Here is a 21,492-nt window from a genome sequence, read left to right as displayed (position 1 = left end):
AAGTGTAGAGTGTTGGCGTCTGAATCTGTGCTTATTAGCAACTGATGGATTATCTCCCTGCACGTGTATTAGCACGGCCGAGACAAATGGAGTGTTGCTTATGCCATGTCCACCTAGATTTAAATCTTCAGGTTCTGTACTATTTTAAAACATAAATAGCAAGTGAAAGTAACTACACTAAGACTTGAAGAATCACATTTTATCCTAGGATTTTTAAAAAATTTATCACCCATCCCATCTCTTTGCAAACTTTCAGTCTTCTACTGAAAAGTGAAAAAAAATTTTTTTTTCTTTCCCGGTTTTCACACAAACCAACTGATCTTTTATATTGCCCTTCCTTGGACAGCCATATTTATCTTCACAAAGTAAATGCTTCCTGTGTAAGAAGTGACTAAGAAGAAATGAGATTGAGTTACAAGCACAGAAGAAAAGCAGTTATTATTTTATGGTCATGCCTTCAATTTCCATTTCACTCAAATTCCTATTTTTTTATTATAAGATTATATTAGTATTCCTCCTTCCTTGGTTTCAGAATTTTGGGAGTTTTGCATCTCTTCCTAGAATAAAATTTGTTTTAAAATCACAAAATCGTTTGAACTTTCCCTTTTGCAGTTGCTACCCATGGATACGCTTACCTTTCAGTAATGAATAATATAACGCCTTTTTAAGAACGGAGTCACAGTGCCAGGAGTCACCATCTGTTGAGTGTCCAAGCACTGTGTCTAGTCTCTTCGCATTTTTTTTAGTTCATCTGCAGGTTAGGAATCATGAATGCATTTTACAGATGAAGAAATCGGGACCTGAAAGAATTGAGTAATTTATCCAAAATCACACGACTAATAAGTTGCTGGGCTAAAGTCAGGATCCAAGTCAGAGTTAATTCAGAGCTTTTCATTATTTTATTATCTCATGATGACTGGTGGAGACTTTACATTCCTTGGTTTGCCTCTGAATATCTGGGTAATTTAAAGGAAAATTGCTTAGACTGTCATTCTCGCAATTTCCCACCGTGTTAAAGTAGAATAAGTCCCCGTATACCTCACCTGCTTCACAGAGGTGTTGGCAGAGGGGGAAGCACTTTATCAGTGACAATCTTGTACTTAAAGGCCCCCATCTCCCAGATTCTCAGGGCCTTCACACATTTTATTAAATTTACCTTCAAACTACCCTGTGAGGTAAGTATACTGAAATAAGCGGTATTACAGCCTGTTTTGAAGATGCTGAAGTTAAAGCATCGGGAAGTCATTATTTCTGGTTATTGCAAAAGGCAGGATTTGGGCCAGCCTGAAAGCCCTGTTGGACTTAGTAGCACTTCATAGCTGCCTCGAGTGTGAGTGTAATTTGGGAGTCAATCACTAGGCTCATTGCTTCCTAGCACACCAGGTTTGGACCAGGTTCACAAGCCTGAGGCTCTGAGGCACCTTCTGTACTTGTCGGTGATGCATTTGCATAGAAATGTGTCTGAGATTTTCCTGAATCGAATGGCTGTAGAATCTCCTATTTGAGCGGCTCCCCTGCTTTCAGGAATCTTCACTCTCCAAGCTCCATACACCTCCCATTTGTGTTACCCACAGACGGGCAGATCGAGGACTGGCATTGGACTGCCCTTTCCTTGTGCAATGTGCTGTCTTTAGAACCAGGCTCTTCCTGCAGAGGCCCAGCTTCTTCCCTCAAGTACCTTTGAACAGAATTTCTGCAGTTGGTCAAGCTTCAGGTTCACAGGGCCCACTGCACTGGAGGGGGAAGCCTGCTTGGATTAGGAACTGTTACACAGTTGCGGACATGGTCCAGATGGCAACTGTTCCCTTGCCTTGTGTCCCTGGATGGCTGCTGACCAAGTCTCTCTTTCTTTACTCCCACCTGGCTGCAGAGCTCTGCCCTCCTTTGGGCTCCCCAGAAGGAGAAGCCGGTGAACGTTCCCAAAGTGTCCCTAATGGAGCCAGAGGAGGGGATACATTGCAGATACATCTCAGAGCAAATAACTTAAAATACCCCATTAGACTATTGTGTTCTCCCAAGAGCACCAGCCTTTCCGTTCCTCCTGCCTAGCTATTCCTGGGAGCTCCAAGTGCTGCCACCTTACTAAGCCTAGGAGTTCAGCTCCAGCCTACTGGCTCAGCCTTTATCCCTAAACTGTGTAGGTTAACAGGACCCACCCTCCTAAAGGCAGTTTAGAGACTATCTGTTGTTTCTTAACGTGTCTTTTAGGAGCCTCATACCTACCTACCCTAAAATTGTTTTATCACAGTATGTTTTCTAAATCAATGTTCTCTCTAAAGGGAATTTGGTAAATGAGATTTTCTCTTTCTTTGTTTTACAATTTGCCCTCTTACGTCCCGTAATGCCTACTTTCTAAAACCTTTAAACAGTTACAGGTAAGTCAGAAAAGGACTATAATGCAGGTCACACTGTTGCCCACACTTCAGGATGAAAAAGTAATTAGAAAATGTTTCAGAAAAGTGTATATTGAAAAGAGGCTGTGAGTGCCACTGTCTCCATTATTTCTTTTATTGCTTAACAAATATTTGGTACCTGTAATATAATTTTTTTAAAGACCATAGTAGAAGCATCAGGATACCAAGGAACAGAAAAGATGAATAACTAGTTCATCCATTCAGGAGACAATTAAGTGTGGGAAGAGAAACACGTGAGAAAAATTGAGCAGCATGGAGCCAATGGGCTCATGGAGGCATAATCGGAGGACGTCAAGGCAGATGTACATTTTTGCTTGCTTGAGACCGATGGGTGGATTTCAGTGAGTGCAGACGAGAGAGGAGGTGTTCTGGGCAATGGGAACAACAAAGACAGAGGCCCAAGGGTAGAAAAGGACAAGTGATGACTTGGTAATAGGAAGCAGTGCAGAAGGAGGCTAACCTTGGAGAGGGGCTCTCCTCTCAGGTAGAAGTGAATCAGGAAAATTAAGTGAGGATGAAGAGGTTTTGAAGGAAGGGAAATGAATGTAGCAACAGCATCATTTTGAAATGTGCTAAAAGGATACTCAGGGAGTTGATCTTAGGTGACTCTAATCATCTCAGTAAACCGAGTTCATTATAAGGATGGAAAAATCTAGAACATTTTGAAATACTCATCGCAGAGAATGGAATTTGGAAGGATTTCCAAGTAGGAGTGACTGCTGAGCTAAAATGGCATACCTGTAGTGTAAATTCATTCTACCCTCCTAGGGGGCTGTCTTCAGCGTGCAGGACAGCACCCAGGAGAGCAGGCTGACACCATAGGCACTCAGTTTGGGGGACTGTTCTGATGGGACCCACAAGAAGGCTTAGAGAGTCAGGGATTTGGAGGTGCTGGTCTCCCAGTGTCAGGAGGACTAACCTGGAGTCCGGCCTCTGTAATTGATCCAAGAGAAAGGAGATAAGCTAGGAGACCACGAAGAGGTCACAGTGAAGATAGCCAGGCAGAGTCAGCACCTATGGGGTGTGCATGCCCACAGAAATCAGAAAGCACCGGCACTGTCTGTCCTCAGAAAGATTTGGGGATGGCAGAGGCAGATCACATCGAGGAGCAATCAGATGGCAGCCTGTGATCTCTCTGGGATATTGATGTGATTAATGGGGTGTTGGCTTCTTTTACTACTTCTGGCTTAGTACCATTTGCAACAGTTGTCTAAGAGATTTTAATTAAATCTAATATACTAATGCTTGTTACTATACAGATTCATACATTTGGAATATATTTCATGTTTTCTCAGACACACTCATAGTTATGTTGCTGCATAAGACTTTCAGTAGAATTAGTTAATGAATTAGACCCTGCTCTCTTGGAAACATTGAGGTCTTCCTGCATGCATCTCTTACCAGCCACAGCTTAGAGTCACAGAGCCTAAACTTTTCAAATCACACATAGTTATCGCTGGAAAAGTTATTGAGCAGGCACACCCACTATATTGATTTTTATCTGTATAGATAGTGTAACATTTACTAACTGTACATAGTATTTATTAGGATACACTTTCAGAAGTAGAGATCTAGAAAGAATAAGATTAAAAAAAAAATAGAAGTACCAATAGTTTATTTCCATACTCCATGGAGCATCTTGTCTCTTCCTCTGTGAGGCCCACCAGCTGGGAGAGTATAAATTAGTTTTCATTTTCTATAGTATGTAAGGAGATTTTAATTAAACCTTATCCATTAATGCTTGTTACTATTATATACAGGCATGTTCTTTAGGAATATATTTCTTGTTTGCTCAAACATGTTCATAGTTATGTCACTGCCTAAGCTTTATTTTGCAAAAATCAGACAGAACTTTTTTTAGTATATATTAGGTTGCTATTAGACTATTTCTTCTAAACAGTTACTAATTACAAAGATTTTTTTAAAAATATGCTTGAGGTAGCTCCCGCATATGTTGCTTTAAAAAATATTGCTGAAGAGGACTCTTCAAGTAACTGTAAAGGCAGCTGGTTGGAGTATGATTCCTTGAATGAAAAACTGTTGATTCTCCTCTTTACACTGCTAGATATACATAACCAAATATCTACTGATGACAGATCTTAACACTGGCAATCCTTAAACCAGCAAAATAAGTATATAACATAAATTTGTGGGAAGCACTCAATTGAGAATTGTTTATAAGTAAATGCAGTCCATCTTGAGGACATGTTTATGGCGTTTAAGTTGCGCTTGATCATTTTATGGCCCAGGAAAGAAGGATTTGTATCAGTGAAACCACTCAGAGGGAGAGAAGTAATGAATTTGCTCCTCAAATATATGCAGTAATGATATCTTGCATTCTCAACATTAAATAAAATAATTCAGTGTTTTGGTCTGACTTATTTGTTGTACTGATCTTCTGTTCCTCCCCTCTGCATCAGCACCCCATTTCATGCCCAATTTTAATTTGGGACAGAAAAGGGCTTTAATTTTGTCTCTTAATTTTGCCTTTCTGTCTATTTTTTCTCAAGCTTCCCATGAGCAGATCCTCAGCTCTGGGCATGGAGTCTTTCCATTCAAGGGAAAGGATTTAACGCTTTTTCTGTGCCGTGATCATACATGCAGTTGCCTTGTCTACCATTTCTGATGTGATTGCTGGTGATACTCATCATCTTCATCTTGTTTGCGTGTTGATAAACAAGGGGATATTCAAATGTGTTATATAAAGTGGGAAGCTTGAGCCTTGCTCATCCCCATATTTAGCCTGAATTCAGGTGAAAATCTCAAGAGTGAAGAATTTTTAAATCTCTCATGCCTTACTATGAACTCGTGTTACAAATATATTGAGAGTGCACCATATTCTCTGCAGTTTTTTTTTACAGTCATACTATTGTAACTAATTCAATAATCTTTGATTCATGTGAACCTTAATGAAACCACCAGAACAGAATAACAGCAACCAAGACTCCAGTAGGCCATGCTTTCTGTTTTACCAATTGAGGTCAAGCCTGAACTCTTACCTAATTTGAAAAGTAAAATAATGGCAAGTATGTCTCTCAGAAAACTACTGGCATCTAATATGGTACCAGGCACGTGGTAGGAGCTCAGTAAATGTGTATCTCTGCAATGAGAGTCCACCCACCCCACCCCACCCCAGTTACTACCAAAGACAAATAGCTTATACCCTTAGAAGGCTTAAAATCTCCTAAGTAGAGAGATATATAATTAGTATTAGTTACATAAATGAATTAGTGCAACATTAATTATGTAATTAATATCCTGTGCTGTGTGTTCTAATCATGGTGTGAACCAAATGCTAAGGGATCATGGAGGGGATGGAATAAATGATTCTTCCAGGGAGAAAGGAGTGGGAATGGGGCTGCTGCCCAAGGAAAAATCATGGTTTGGACACTACCCTGGGGGCTGAGCAGGAGCTCTCCAGGTACAGAAAGGGGTGTGTGGTTGAGGAGGCCGTTCAGAAGACCCTTCAGAAGACCTACGAATATACTATATTTCTTTATTCACACGTTGTCTGGGGTGTGAGATTTTTAGTTCACTGAGAGCTGGGATTGCCTAGGAAAGTCCCTAAATGCCGCACTAAGGGCTTTGGCCTGGGAGGGTAGTGAGACATCTGATTTTGAAGTGACAACATGACCAGTGGTTTATAGTCAGGCTGCTCGGACCTTAACCTGCATCACAGTTCCCTGGAGGGTTGGTCAGAACAGACTGCTGGGCCCCAGCCCAGAGTTTCTGATGAAGGAGCTGTGGGTGAGACCTCAGAACATGCATTTCTAACAAGTGCCCCAGTGCAGCTGATGCTGCTAACCACTGGTTTAGACAGTAAACTGAAATATCGAGGGCAGAAGTCATTGAGGTCTGTATGTGAGTTTATTAAAATATCAAGTAAGGTAAGAGGCAAAAATCACTACCCAGAATATGCCAGTAATGATTTTCATTGTTCATCATTTTTGAGACCGTATTATATACACAGGGTTAATGGTTCCAGAGAGTCCCCTCTCTGTCATTAATGGTAGGATTCCTGGAGTCACCAGAAGAGTCACAAAAAGACTCCTCTGATACCTTCACTGACCTCACTAAGCTCAATTCAGAGGAATACAGTAAGTTTATAACATCATTGTTAGGTTCTTGGAAACTGCAACTTTAAGCAAACCAACTATAGCAGGTCCTCAAATGACATCATTTCATTCAACATCATTTTTTTACAGCGTTGATGAGAAAATGTGGTTTGGCTGTATGTTGTTTTGCCTAAAGTTAGTTTCCAGGAACTATTGCCGATGTTAAGTGTGGATTTAACTGTACATAGAAAAGGTAGCTTTGGGCAGGCTAAGTTCTTTCCACATTGGGCCATCTTTCTTTCTCCTCCCAGCTCCACACACACACAATGGTAGCATCCCACCTTCTATTATAAGCACTCAAGGGTGGAGGGTGGTATTAAGGCAGAAGGGGGTGTATTGGATGCTTTTGGGGGAACATTCTTAGACGGGGATTTTATCTTCTTCTTGCTGTCTTGTCATCTTGTGCCCAAATGCCTTTTATATCTATTGCCTAGGAAATCACTTAGCTATATCATCATGTTCTCCCCAGCATTTGGTGTATGCAGTTCATTAGAGAAGTTGATATCACTTATAAGGACCACTGGGGCCACTGTGGGAAAGAAGAATGATACCCAAAATTGTGAGGCAGGTTCGAAGTACCATTTCACTATTCAGAGATTTCAAAAAATGGTGCAACATTAATTAGCTGTGAAAGCAACAAAGAGGAAAACACCATAGGCTAAAGCCCCACAAGCTGAGTGTCCAGTTCCTTTATCCTGATTTTGTTTGAGGCCTGCACAGAGAGATTTAAAAAAGCCATTGCTGATTCATTGTCACTAAGAGGCAGAGTATATTGAAGACAAGTCCATCTGGGGGCTCCCCTTTCCAACTCTTCAGAATGCCTGTGATGTGTCAAGTTCTGTTCTAAGGTGCAGTGACCAACAGGTAAAAATCTTAGCTCTCCTTAGAGCTTACATTCTAGTGGGGAAGAGAGGCAAGAAACAAGATATATTAGTAAATCCAGACCATGTTAGGTAATCAGAAGTGCTAAGGAGAAAAATAATTTAGGGAAGAAGAGTAAGCAGTGTTGAATGGGAAAGAGGATGCAATTTTAGATAGGATATCCAACAGGGAAATCACTAAGAAAGTGACTTTTGAGCAAAGACTTGAAGGAAATGAGGGAGCTAGTCATGTGAAAATGTGGGAAATGAACATTCCAGAAAGAGGAAAAGCATATGCAAAGTCTCTAAGGCCATACTTGCTGTGTAGCATCTTGGGTATACCCTAGATGAGCAAGGAAGAAAGTGGTTGTGGAAGAGCCAGGGAGGAGACAGATTGTAGAAATCCTTGTAGATCACTGGAAGAACTCGAACTCATACCCTGAGTGAGATGGGACATGTTATGAGGATGCTTCATATGAGCAAAGAAATGGCCCCATCACACTTAATGTTTAACAAGATCACTTAGGCTCCTGTGTTGAGAAAAAAATGAAGGAAGGAGGCAAGACTATAAGCAAGGAGACCAACTAGGAGGCTGTTAAAAATAATCCAGGCAAGAGAAGATGGTGACCAACATATGAACAGTGGAGATAGTGAGAAATGGCCATTTTCTCATTCTATTTTGGAAGCTTGGCAAGAAGGGATTCACCGACTGACTGGATGTGAGATGTGAACAGGAAAGACAAACATCAAGGATGATGCCAGAGTTTTTGCATGGAACAGGGAGAAGAATAGCATTGTCATTTACTGAGATGGGGAAAGGGAGCAGGTTTGAATGAGATTAATTTTGGTAAGTGCAGCCATGATAAGTGTGAGATGCGTATTAGACATCTGAGTAGGCCAGCTTGTCAAGTAGCCAGTCGGATATACGAGTCTGGGTTCAGGAGAGAGGTACAGGCATCCAGGGAGTCATCCACATGTAAATTTATGCCGTGAGATGGGATGAGGTCACCAAAGCAGTGAGTGCAGGTAGAAAATAAAACATGTTCAAGATTGAGCCCTGGAGGACTCGATGTTTAGAAGTCAGGGAGATGAGAAATCCCAGATGAAAAGAAAACTAAGATAAAAGTGTAGCAGTGGAAGCTGAAATAAATGAAAAAGATGTTTGAAGGAGGAGAACGCTATCAGACAGCTACGTCAGATCCTTCCCATAGACTGAGTACGATCAAAACCAAAAATTGACCAGTGGATTTAGCAATACAGAAGCCATTGCTAACCTTGGTAAGAGTAGTCTGGGTGGAATGGTGAGTAGATTTCTGAAAGACACCGCAATTAACAATTTTCTCCTCTCCTGCACCAACACAGCCTCCTTTCTGTCATATTACTCCATGAGCATTTAAACGCACCATTATTTCTCTCATCTTAAACTCCCATTTCGACTTGCCTTTCCCTTCCGTCTGCCACTCCACTTCTGTCCTTTCCATTAAAACAAAATTCCTGAAAAATTTTTGATGTCATCAATTTCTTCCCATTATTCCCTGGAATTTTGTTTTAAGGACTTAAGGTTGTCAGCTGAGAGGATGGAGAGAGGTGTTAAAGACTTGAGGACAAAGAGGAGTAATCATTTTGTAAGAGAATGGAAGAGTGCACAGAATTGGAAAACGTGGCATGATTGGTGGGTGTCATCAATTGCCACTTGATGGTGGCAATTGTGACTTTAAAATGAGATCAGTCTGTTTGGTGGCGTGTTATTCCTCAGCCCCATTCTGCTGGGCAGGTGCAGGCAGGGAGTGAGCAGACAGTTGGTTTTAACAAGAGTAGTGAGTTATTTTTGTCCAGAGAATTTCAAGAGTGGGACAGATTTGAGGTTTTGTGCTTATGAGGATTTCTCATGGTTTTCAAGTTGAGTGAGGAAGAAACCAGGGCAGAGGTAAAAGGACATTAGAGGTCAGGGTGTTGGAGGGATCATCTGGGTGATTAATGAAATTACCAAGAATCATGCAGGAGATCAATAGGGCTGAAGCAGATGACAGTGAGTAGACTCTAAACCTTCAAGGAATTGGGGAAGCAACCAGGGTGAATGGCTGCCTGCAAGGAGGAGGGTAGAGCAGCAGGGTCTGAAAGCACTATGCTCACAGAGTAGAGAGTTCAGAGAGGATACAGGAGCAGTTATTTGGAAGTTGGAGTGAAGAACAAGAGTATCGACCGCCATCCCAGCACGGTAGGATGAAGAGTGTGGGGGGAGAAGACAGTCCCGGCTGGAGAGCATTGCCACGGAAGTGCTTCCTCACGGGAGAGCCGGGTTTCAGTTACAGCAAAGATGAAAGGGATGTTCCAGAAGAGGCTGAGGTCCTGGGGGATTTTGCTGATGATTGCCCATGAGCCCAAGAAGTGCAGTGGAAGCATTTCAGGAGAAGGAAGGAGAGCCAGGAACATCAGTCTGAGGAATGTGAGAAACCTAGGCTTTTGGAGGTGGCTTTCTGAGGAATCTTGAGTCCCAGTATAGTATAGTCTCACCTGTGAAACATCCTGCATCTTACTACTCACAGGTCATGAAGTGGTTCCATTAACTTCCTGGGCTTTTCTGTGCAAACAGGCTGCAGCATGCCCTGTTGGAAGGCAGCAGGGCCCACTTGTGCTCCAGTTTTGTCTTTGCCACCTGGTTTGTGTCCAGCCAAGACTGTGGATTGTTGGGCTGTGGGCCGGAGGAAGCCCCCACATCCTCACTGATTGTGCTGGCCTTGCTCTCAGTGCCTCAGTGGGGTCTGCTGAGGAGGAGCAAGCCAGAGAGGAAGGCCAACCAGCTCACAGCCAGGAGCAGGGTTTCCCAAGCTCAAGTGACGTGCTTGCCAGCTTTAAATGCTTACTACTGCAGAGCACCTCCACTCTTGTTTGTAATGATTTTCTGTAAATACATTCACTTTTGTTTTCTTATGGAAATGTCTTTTTCAAGGAAACTCATAAGAAACCTGCCACAATTGAAAAGTTATTGTAAAAAATGAGTACAGAACCAGAATGATGAAAAATTTAAAAATGTACATCCTCATACACCCTAGATCATCTCATTTGCCACTTTTGGGAAGTGAGCGAATGAAAGAATGGCTGGGACTCAGACTCACTCCTCCTTACAAAGCTGCCCACCTGTGTCTTCTCTCTTTCTTGTTTCTACTTTCTACTGATGGCCCTATGATTTACCTGCGGGAGAATCAGGCTGAATTATTGTGCTTGAGAAGAGCATTTCCCTTATGTGCAAGTTAAGTTCCCATAAAGGAGCATGGCCCGTGCAAAGGCCCTGAGGTGGCAGAGAATATGCGCATTCAGGGATGCAGCAGGAGTGAAGACACCTAGCAGGAGAGGCCTGCAGACAGGCTGCTGTGGGCAGGTTAAAAATGTAGGTCTTTTTCTATGAGCAGCATGAAGCTCGCCTTAAGGAGGGTCACCTCCCAAATCAAATGGTTAGATTTGAGTTCTAAAAGATCTGTTTTCAGTCATGCAGAAAAGAGATTGGAGAGGGCAGATGTGGGGTGGACAGTTGGGAGATGCTCTTGCAGAGTCCACAGGAGACCCAAAGGCCTAAAGTCAAATGGTGCTGATGGCAAAGGATGGAAGGATAAAGTTCTAAGAAATGTTTAGAAGGCAAAAGGAGCAAGACTTAGCACTTGCTTGAATGCAGGGATAGGAAGAGAAGGGAGGTCAGGGATGACTTCAGCATCTCTGGCTGGCATTGCTGGGTAGGTGGTGGTAGAATGCTTTGAAATGGAGAATACCAGAGCTGGGACTGGAGGGAATATGTTGAGTATGGTTTTGGACAAATTGAATTGGAGGTTCCTGGGTGACATGGGAAGAAAGATGTGCCAAGTTGGGTATGTGGGTCTAGAGCGCAGAAGAAAGGTGGGAAGTGGAGAAAGGAATTGGAGATTCATTGGCCTGTGCTTTAGGTGTGATTGTAAAGGCTGATGTGGTCTACCTGCCTCTTCTTGTCACTGTGACCTTTCATATGTGAGCTGATGTGCAACAGAGTTTCCACTCCAGCTAGCCTATTAAAGGCTGAATTGATTATTCTCCCTCTGAAAAAAAGCAAAATATACTGTTGTGTTATTATACTAACAATGACTGAGAGGCAGTGAGATTTTTTTCCTCTTCCACCTCCTCTTCTTTAAAAGTGTTTCTATAAAAAGGGACACTTTTTATAACCAATTAAGAGATGACCATCTGCCCTTCACTTTACATAGACAAGCTGCCTGTAACAAGATCTGAGAGCCAAAGCTGCATGTTTAAGTAAAGTACATTTATTATTTCTAAGTTGTATTTATGCAGCTAGATTAATGTTTTCAGTTCTAGAGAAATTTTACATGCTAATCACTTTTTTTAAATTTAATTTTTAAATTCTTTTGAAAAATTTTAGTGACTTTTGCTTCTTAATGCTTATTCATTTTGGTTTTCCTGGTTAATAGATTACTGTCCTAGATGAGACATGGACTGTATTCAGGCGTTACAGTCGTTTTCGAGAAATGCATAAAACATTGAAGTTAAAGTATGCAGAGGTAAGTTATGAAATTATTATCTCCGATTAAGAGCATTCATTTTATAAAGTAAATGAGCTGATTGCATTAGCAATGTTATCTCTCTCTCTGTCTCTCTCTTTCAGATACTAGCTTATTAGTGTCACTAAGTCTTACTTCAATAACCCATTTATCAAAGATAACTTTAAATTTTTTCTTCTTTGTTCCATTTCTGTTCTACACAATTTAAACATTTTCTTAACAGAAGATTTTGAAAGTGATATTACAATGACAGTAAGTGAACTCCATCCTTCTCATAAATTTTATGGTAAATTTTAAATACATATTTTAATCAATTTATAACTTCTCAATTATGAGACCTATTAAAATTAAAATAACTTCTTCATATAGATTTACACTTTTTTCTTTAAAAAAGAAAGACTACATTCATGCTTAGTCTTATACTTAATGAGAAGTCAAGTCATAACAGTTATTTTGCCATTGAACGTAGAGGGAAAGGTAGATAGAAAATGCAGAATTATCTAGAGACCAGAAAGCATTTCATGCATCAGATCAAATATCCAGAGGGTATTAATACATTAGTCGTCTTTTCCTTTTTGAACAAACACAGGTTTCTCAAGTAATTTTAAGCAAAGTATTCCTAGAAGGAATGTGTGTTTTCCAAGTAATGATGATGATGAAGATGATTTTACTTCAACTAAAGGAAGCATTATCTAGGTCCAGCTTTCTGGGAATTTTGTGTTGAACTGACTGCAGATCAATCAACAGTCATTGTCTAACTAGCCTGCTTTCACCAATTATTGGTTTTGAGCACTATTTTTATGGTTTTTTATGACATTTTAAAATATAGTTAGAAATTTGGTTCACTAATTTGGTTCACATTAAATAATGTTTCCTTAACATTCTCATGGCTTCCACCCTTTTTAAAATCTGATATAAAATACAAAGAGAAATAGCTTTTTGTAAATAAAATAGTTCCCTGGTGTATAGAAGAATCTTGAGCTCAGGTAGAATTAAGCTGTGTTAGTTTGTTTGCATTGCTATAAAGGATTACCAGAGACTGGGTAATTTATGAAGAAAAGAGGTTTATTTGACTTACAGTTCTACAGGCTGTACATGAAGCACTTCTGGTGAGGGCCTCAGGAAGCTTCCAATCATGGTGGAATATGAAGGGGACCCAGTGTGTCACATGGGGAGACAGGGAGCAAGAGAGAAAGGAGGGGGTCCTAGACTCTTTTTCACAATCAGATCTCAAGGTACTCATTACCATGGGATACCATCAAGCTGTTTGTGAGGAATCTGCCCTCAAGATCCAACACCTCCTACTAGGCCCCACCTCCAACATTGGGGATCATATTTCAACATGAGATTTGGAAGGAACACACATCCAAACCATATCTTAAGCTATCTCTGAAATTCTGTTACTAAGCTGTCACACTCTCTAGTCTTTTATTAAAAATTTAGGAAACTTCAAGTGGGAATTTGTTCCCAAGAGGCTTCTTGTAACAGTAATAACATCAAAATCAAGTTATTAAGTTTGTTTCTGCAGTTTAATTTTCGTGGCTGAAATCAATATTGACAATTAAAAGAAGTATTGTGTACATATGAAATGTACAGAGCAGCTTGTTTTTAAAGTGAGCTTTGCAGCTCATTAACCACTTGGTTTTAAGTTACTACATCAGTATTTTAATAACGGACGGATTTTGCGTATTTAATTAAACTCACTGAATTCCCAAAGCAATACCTAGCAAAAGCAATTTCCATGAAATAAAAGCACTCAGACTTTATATACACACACACACATTCATTCCAGGATGTATTTATTTTATATTGATTATTTGATTACTTCAACCCATTCTGTGTAGGCACATTTTTCTGGATTCCAGTAAGACTGTGACAGACAAGAACAAAAATTTCTTCTTCTATATATCTTAAATATGGGGCAGACAGTAAACAAGGAGAAAATAATAGCTAGCACTTTAAGAGTAAGCATGCAGTGTTGCAGTTACCATTTAAAGTGAGTTACATGCCTTATATGAAAATTAGCAATAAAGAATGGTGGGGCAGAAGGTGTTGGGCACACTTTAGTACAAGGTTGTTTCAGGGTTGGGCTCCTGACAAGGTGGCATTCTAGTTGATACATTAGCTGAGAGATATTTAAAAGAGTTTTCAGAGCACCAATATACAACTCTAATCTGTGTTTTTAAAGAAAACTCCAGAATGAACATAACAGAAACAATCTTTAAAGATATAATAGAAGAAAACATACCCAAGGTTAAGAATGACATGAACCAGTGAGTCGAAGAAGTTACTTGGTACCAGGCAAAATGAATGAACACAGATTATCACATACATGAGAGTATTTTCCAGAGGAAAAAGGGTGTATTACAAACATGTTTTAAAAAACCTTCAAATGAAGAAAATCAAGTTGGTGTCATTCATTAATTCACTCATCTGTATTGAGCAACTCTGCATGGTGAACACATTGTGAACAAGACAGCTGCATTCCCTCTTCTCATGAAGTAGAGAGAATAAACAGTGAACAAATAAATAAGGCAATTTCAGCTTGTGTAAAGTGAATAAAACCAGGCCTTGTGATAGTGTGGCATGAGAGCTGGGTAGTGGACTACTTTAGGTGGGGCAGACCAGGCACACCTTTCTGAAAGAGTGGAATTTGTGCTGAGATCTGAATGCTGAGAAAGAGCCAGCCGTGAAAATCTGGAGGTGGGTACATTGTAACTCACGGGAAGAGCAAGTGCAAAGGCCCTGCAGTAGAACCAAGTTTGGTTTGTTCCAAGAACAAAAAGGCCTGGAAAAGTGGTGAGGATGGTAGAGGAATGTGGGCAAAGAGGTAGGAAGGGACTCTATCATGTGGAGCCTTGAACTGTATTCCTAGTGCATGGGAAGCCACTGGACAGTATTAAGCCTGGTAACAAAGTGGTTTTATTTATACACTTAAAAGGTCATTTTAATGGCCATACCGAGTATGGATGGTTGGGGTGCTAGAGAGCTCAAATCCAGAATTCTTTTTAGACATTAATTTGAGGATACTTTTAAACACCCAATTAGAACTATCAAGAGAGATGAAGGATATAAGCCTAAAGTTTAAAGGAGAAAGATATTATGAACCTTCTCTTAAAAATACAAGTTATTGTTTGGATCAGGAATAATTAAGAAAAATTTTTTTATTTCTTTTACACTAAGTAAAGTGCTTTTATTTCTGCTTCAATTTCTAGCTAAGTTTCAGTCTTCAGACCATTTCTATTCATAGGCGACTTCTGCTCGCAGAAGCCTCTTTTCCTGAAGACAGGCTCAGGATCTCAATGTTAGCTAAGAATGGAAATTGGTTCTCCATGTTGTGTTTAATTTTGTGGCTTATAATTACTCTCACATAAGGACAAAAGAATGTTATATATAAAGGAGAACCCACAAACACGTGTGTTCATGTATTTGAAGGAAAACAGACTATGAGAGTGGTGATTTGAAACCTTGTAGTAAGCTCCTAAAACAAACACCACATGTTGAAAGGTACAGACCCCGAGGTGTGCCATGCTGTTGTTTGTGTCCATAGCCATAACTCCAACACTTACAAGGTGCTGACCGTGGGCCAGGTGCTGTGCTGTGCATCTCATGTGGTTCTCGGACATCACTGGGAAGTGTGGGGGCTGTTACCCTCCTTGTTTTACAGAGACAGATACTGAAGAGTGGGAGATGTAAATAACTTGCCTTGTATCAAACAATTGATGAGCAGAAGCCAGTCCCAGGCCATTGCACTCTACTTTCTGTTTCTAAACCAACAATAATATAAAAATGGGAAAAAAGAATTATTTCTAAAAACACAGTAGCCTGTCATTCTAGATCTAAATCTTATTTCACTCACAACAGCATTGTCCATTTAACATTTTTAAGATAAAGCTTAAAATTAAGTTGAATATCAGCTGTCTCTTTTCCTGTAAAGTTCTTTTTACTCTTATGCAGCTCAGCTTCACATAGTCAATACTTGCTAAGTATTTGTTGAGACTTGAGATCAATGTTTATTACGTATTTGTCAATTATTATTGCCCTCATTAGTGCTTATATTATTACCATCTCTGTAAATAATGCTAATCTGCTCCTCCAAGTGGACTATTTGGCCTGACAACATCCTAGAAATCACTTGATTTGCTAAAGACCTAACTCTTTCAGGAAAGCCAAAGGGTTGATACAAAAGGATCCTGAAAATTTCCTCTCATGGGTGACTATTTTATAGCCAAGTGGGAACATATTTTATTTACTTCGCTCCTTCACCAGATTGGGCTCATTATTTCTGTGGAAGTAGAAGACTATTCTGGCTCTCTTAATTGCAAGGGTAACAAAATGTTTGATGATAGTATATTTTTAAATGACACATATTAAATTTACCTAGCCATACAAGGCTCCAAAATTTTAATCAAGCTAAGAAGTATCGAAAAGCACACTGGAATTCAAAATATACAGAATTAGGAATATGCTTGCCAAGATAGACTCTTCTGTCACCTTAACACTTTAGTTTTAGTTAGCCTATAGTCTTTTGGAACTTTGTCTAAAATGATATCCTGCCCATTCACATTTCATCTGGAGTTTAGCCGTGGTCTCCTGGGGGATATACTTTTAACAGTTTGGTGTGACAGGTCTCTTGATGGAGATTTGTTTTCTTTTGGTAATCTTTTTTCCCCAATAATAAATTACATGTTCATTATAAAAGATTGACATTATTCAACAATATATACATGGAATGTGAAAGTTCTTCTTAATCTAACCCTCAGTAGGAATGATTTGCAACACTCACCAGGAAGTCCTCCTGGGTCCAGCTATGCATTCAGACTCACAACTCCCATAGCCCATGCTCAGCGTCAGTTTCCCTGGGAAGGACACAGGACAAGAATCACTGCTTGCCAGCAGGGCACAAGGGCTTGGAGAAGCCCCCCAAGCAGTCTCTGGAGCAGTCCACTCGGCTGTCTGAGAGCTGTTCTTGCCTCACTTCTCCAGGTGATAGCTAACGTACAGAGTTGAGCCCCACATGGGCATGTGTGAGAACCACTCTGGCCTAGAATCCCGTGCCAGAAGGGAGCCAGTGTCTCTTATAACAACTCCATAGGCAGAATTTCTAGAGTCCCAACAGCCTGCTGAGTTACCAGTCATCTCACTCAGAGAATCCTAAAGCTATGGCTTCCCACCAGACAGCTGTCATTTCTGCCTGTCCAGATGCAACTTATTGAGGCAGGGAGTCAGGGGTGTCATTTTTACCATAAGCATGAGCAACATTGTCTCATAACAAACTTGGCATGTCACCTTATCAGGTTTCCAGAATCCTGTTGATGAATATTTGGGTAGTTTCCCAATTATTGCTGTTGTGACTACTTCTCTGTAAACATTCTTGAACATACCTATATGTCTTCTGGTTCATGTGTTAGACTTTCTTTGTGAAGAAATCTGATAATTGCTTAAATGTTCTTAAAGACTTTCTGAAAAACCAAGATCAGTAAAGAATGCACTAAGTTAGGTAGACTGAGAGTCCTGAAAGCCATCACCCTAGTGAGAAAGTTTAAGAATTCCTTAACCATCATTCAGCTAAGCCTTCTAATCCCCCTGTTCACTCACATTCATTTGGTTAATTATTTACCTTAATGTCTCCTTAAGGAGAATGATGTGCTTGTCAACTGAAGACCCCTCAGGAATACTTTATATACATTTGGGTGGTGAGCCAATTAAAGCGGTAAGGAGTTGTTGATTATTAGATATAAGATAAGTCTGTGAATAAAATAGAAGTAACCTAAGGTTAATACAAACAGAACTTAGGAATTGAGCAGACAAGAAGACACTGGGTTCCATAAAATTCTGGGAAGTTGGGGTTGAGAGCAGGGGAAAAGCAAAAACCAAAGGAAAATTTAGTCCTTGTTTTAATTGTATGATGACAGATTATATGAATAAAAAACCTAAATTTTTTGTACTTTGTAATACTGAAGAAGGACAGATTTGCTGCATGTGATCTTCAATCATATACGAACATTATTGCCATTCTGTTTTCAGATTCACTGTATGAGTAGGCTGAGTTCTTCACTGGAGGTGCTGCATTACTCAGGGTTTTTTAAATTGTTGTTGTATTTTTATTTATTCATTTTCTTTAATCTTAGCAGTTTCTTCTGGATTTCAAATGGGTTTCCTCTTTTGTTTTGAATTAAGTTGTCCTCTTCATCTATTGACATGTATTATGCAAGATAATAGCTCCTTCTGGCATTCATTTTCTGTTCCCCTTCATTGACCTTGTATGGAATCTTAATCAAATTAAACCTGTGTTTTCCAGTTCACGTCTGTAAAGTGATAATGCCACAGCTAGTTTGTAGAAGATTGTGAGAGCCTCAGATACAATGTGTTATTGAAAGCAACTATGAAGTATTATGCAGCATCTTCCAGAGAGCAGATCTTTGAAATTTTATCATGCGAATAATTTCTGTAGTGCTTTTTCTGTATGAAAACTATGTATTTTTGACTCTATTAAAATCAGTGTAAGGCTTTTAAATATCAATCAAGTTACATTCTCAGAAACAAAGCCCCCATGAAGTGTTCTCTTTTTGTTTCTATGAGAAGGAGATAGAGTTACTGTTTCTGTCTGGTGTTCATGAAGCTTACCTATTATAGATCCAGGTCACAATCCAAGAGTCCAGCAAAACAGAAACATAGCTCATCAAGCTGAAGAGAAAAAAACTTTTAAAACCACATCTCTTTTTCATCCATTAGCATGAGTAGTGAAGAGCTAGTATCCCCCTAGCTTTTTGGATGACTGGTCTGGTATTTTAATAAAGTTGGATGACATGAGGCTGGAAGGTCAGAGGTCATCAGGAGAGTTACTGCTTCCAAGAGATTCACAGATGCCAACTCCTGTCTGATTTTTTTAAAAAGACTTTATTTTCATGCATTTAACAGGGTGTCTTTCTTTTCAAATGCTAGAGCCTAATGAGCACTGCTATGGACTGAATGTTTGTGTTCCTCCTAAATTGTGTTGAAATTTAACCTACAATTTGTTGGTATTAAGAGATGGGGCCTTTGGGAGGTGACTAGGTCATGAGACCCTCATAAATGGGATTAGTACCTGAGGGAGCTTGCCCCCACCTCCTGCCATGTGAGAACACAGAAGGGGCCATCTGTGGAGAACAAGACCTCAGCAGGTACTGAATCTGCTTACACCCTGATCTTGGACTTCACAGCCTCCAGAACTGTGAGCAGTAAATTTCTGTTGTTTATAAATTACCCAGTCTAAGGTATTTTGTTATAGCAGCCCGAACGGACTAAGTCAGGAACCTTACTTTTCAAGGACGTAAATCTCACTGTGAAACAGATGAAGTACTGGAATCAATCATTGAGGGTCTTTTGATGATATTCTTGGCTAAATGATTCTGAAGCCAGTTTGTGCTGCTGCGCTTAGAGGCAAGAGAATGAATTTTGAAAATGAGACATTTCATGTATTAAAATGTACAATCAAAACAAGTGCTAGGGGATGCCTGTGCATCATGAGAGTATAAGCTACATGGAACAGTTCATGTTGCTTGTCTTCATCATAACTAAGTTATCGCAGTGAGTCATTAGAGTCCCCAAGTTTCAAACACAATCAGCCTCAATCAGCCACATCCCTAGGGAGTTCCCTTCTCCCCACAAAGCTGAGAGAAAAATATTTTGAGAGCCTTCCATAAAAATGGAAAATTGCTGTGTTAGAGCAATTGTTCACTCACATCTGGCATTCTCTGGGTACCCAGTAAATACTAGTGGGAGGGAAGAAAACGACTAGGCAAGAGGTTATTTAATTTGTAGATGGACTTTCAGTTAGTGCTGATGAACCATTTCTCACCTTCTTTATTTTCTGAGCAGCACCAAAGAAAGAAATGAAAAGAATTTGGCTGTTGGCCTTGTATTTGTCTTGGACAACTATTGACCATCTATTATTCAAATGCATTATAACAGTTTTATTACTAGCATTTCAAGTTTAATATAAAAATTGCAAATCTGCTCACCACCCAAATTATAATGCTACCAACTGCAGCCACAGAGAGCACCCAGTAAGCCTTAGATAAATTCAGTTGCACCAAGCCCTCAGCCTCCTTGAATTTCTAAATAGCAAACAGCTATGCAGACAAAAATAGAATACAGCCAGCTTCCTGACCTTGTACATTATCAGAGGCCCAGGTAGTTCACTGTGTGGTTTCTATCACACCATTCTCTTCAACTGGTAGATAACTAGCATTTAAATCACTGCTTTCAAGGATGAGTGGAGGCGCAATGAGCATCCAAATTACCTGGGAAGCTTTTCCAAAATATGCAGACTCAGGCCCCAAACTAGGAATTTCTTATTCAGTAAATCTGACTTGGGGCTCAGGAGTGTGTAATTGGGAGCAAATCCTCCATAGGATGTTCTCTGGACCACTGATTAAGACATTGGCTGTCCTCTTTTGCATCTATCTTGGGAGCATTAGTTGATTTTTTTTTTATTTCAATAAATGTTTGGGAAACAGGTGTGTTTGGTTACATGGATAAGTTCATTAGTGGTTAGTGGCGATTTCTGAGATTTTGGTATACCCATCACTTGAGCAGTGTAAACTGTACCCAATGTGTAGTCTATTATCCCTAATCCCCCCTCCCACCCTTTCCCCTGAGTCCCCGAAGTCCATTGTATCATGTTTCCTCATAGTTTAGCTCCCACTTATGAGTGAGAACATACGATGTTTGGTTTTTCATTCCTGAGGTACTTCACTTAGGATAATGGTCTCCAATTCCATCCAGGTTGCTGCAAATGCCATTATCTTGTTTCTTTTTATGGCTGAGTAGTATTCCATGGTGTGTGTGTGTGTGTGTGTGTGTGTGTGTGTGTACATGTATACATATACATACATATATATGTGTGTGTGTATATATATACACACACATATATGCATACACATACACATACACACATATATATGTTATATATATATATATAACATTTTCTTTATCCACTTGGTTGATGGGCATTTGGGCTGATTCCATGTTTTTGCAATTTTGAAGTGTTGTGCTGCTATAAACATGTGTGTGCAAGTGTCTTTTTCATATAATGACTTCTTTTCCTCTGGGTCGATACCCAGTAGTAGGCTTGCTGGATCAAATGGCAGATCTACTTTTAGTTCTTTAAGGAATCTCCATACTGTTTTCTATAGTGGTTGTACTAGTTTACATTCCCACCAGCAAGTGTAAAAGTGTTCCCTTTTTACCACATCCATGCCAACATCTTTTATTTTTTTGATTTTTTAAATTATGGCCATCCTTGCAGGAGTAAGGTGGTATCGCATTGTGGGTTTGATTTGCATTTAACTGATAATTAGTGATGTTGAGCATTTTTTCATAAGTTTGTTGGCCATTTGTGTATCTTCTTTTGAGAATTGTCTATTCATGTCCTTAGCCCACTTTTTGATGGGATTATTTGGGTTTTTTTTTCTTTTTCTTTTTTTTTTGCTGATTTCTTTGAGCTCCTTATAGATTCTGGATATTATTCCTTTGTCGAATACATAGTTTGCAAAGATTTTCTCCCACTCTATGGGCT

The 21,492-nt window shown here is 39.8% G+C and overlaps 1 protein-coding gene across 12 annotated transcripts in view; it reads left to right on the top strand.

Moving 5' to 3' along the window:
• KIF16B (kinesin family member 16B) overlaps nt 1–21,492 on the top strand; it is a 301,345-nt gene that overhangs the window by 225,593 nt on the left and 54,260 nt on the right. For 8 of the 12 annotated variants that reach the window (XM_047440266.1, NM_001199865.2, XM_017027926.2 and 5 more), the window contains one exon: nt 11,841–11,930. The exons of the other annotated variants lie outside the window; for them this stretch is intronic. In XM_047440266.1, the coding sequence (XP_047296222.1) occupies nt 11,841–11,930 (90 nt within the window). The remainder of the gene's footprint in view (nt 1–11,840; nt 11,931–21,492) is intronic. 12 annotated transcript variants of the gene reach the window in all.

Source organism: Homo sapiens, chromosome 20 (assembly GCF_000001405.40).
Source record: "Homo sapiens chromosome 20, GRCh38.p14 Primary Assembly".
In the NCBI taxonomy this organism is placed as follows: domain Eukaryota; kingdom Metazoa; phylum Chordata; class Mammalia; order Primates; family Hominidae; genus Homo; species Homo sapiens.
The sequence above is the reverse complement of the archived record's forward strand: the minus strand, read 5'-3'. Positions and strand labels throughout refer to the sequence as shown.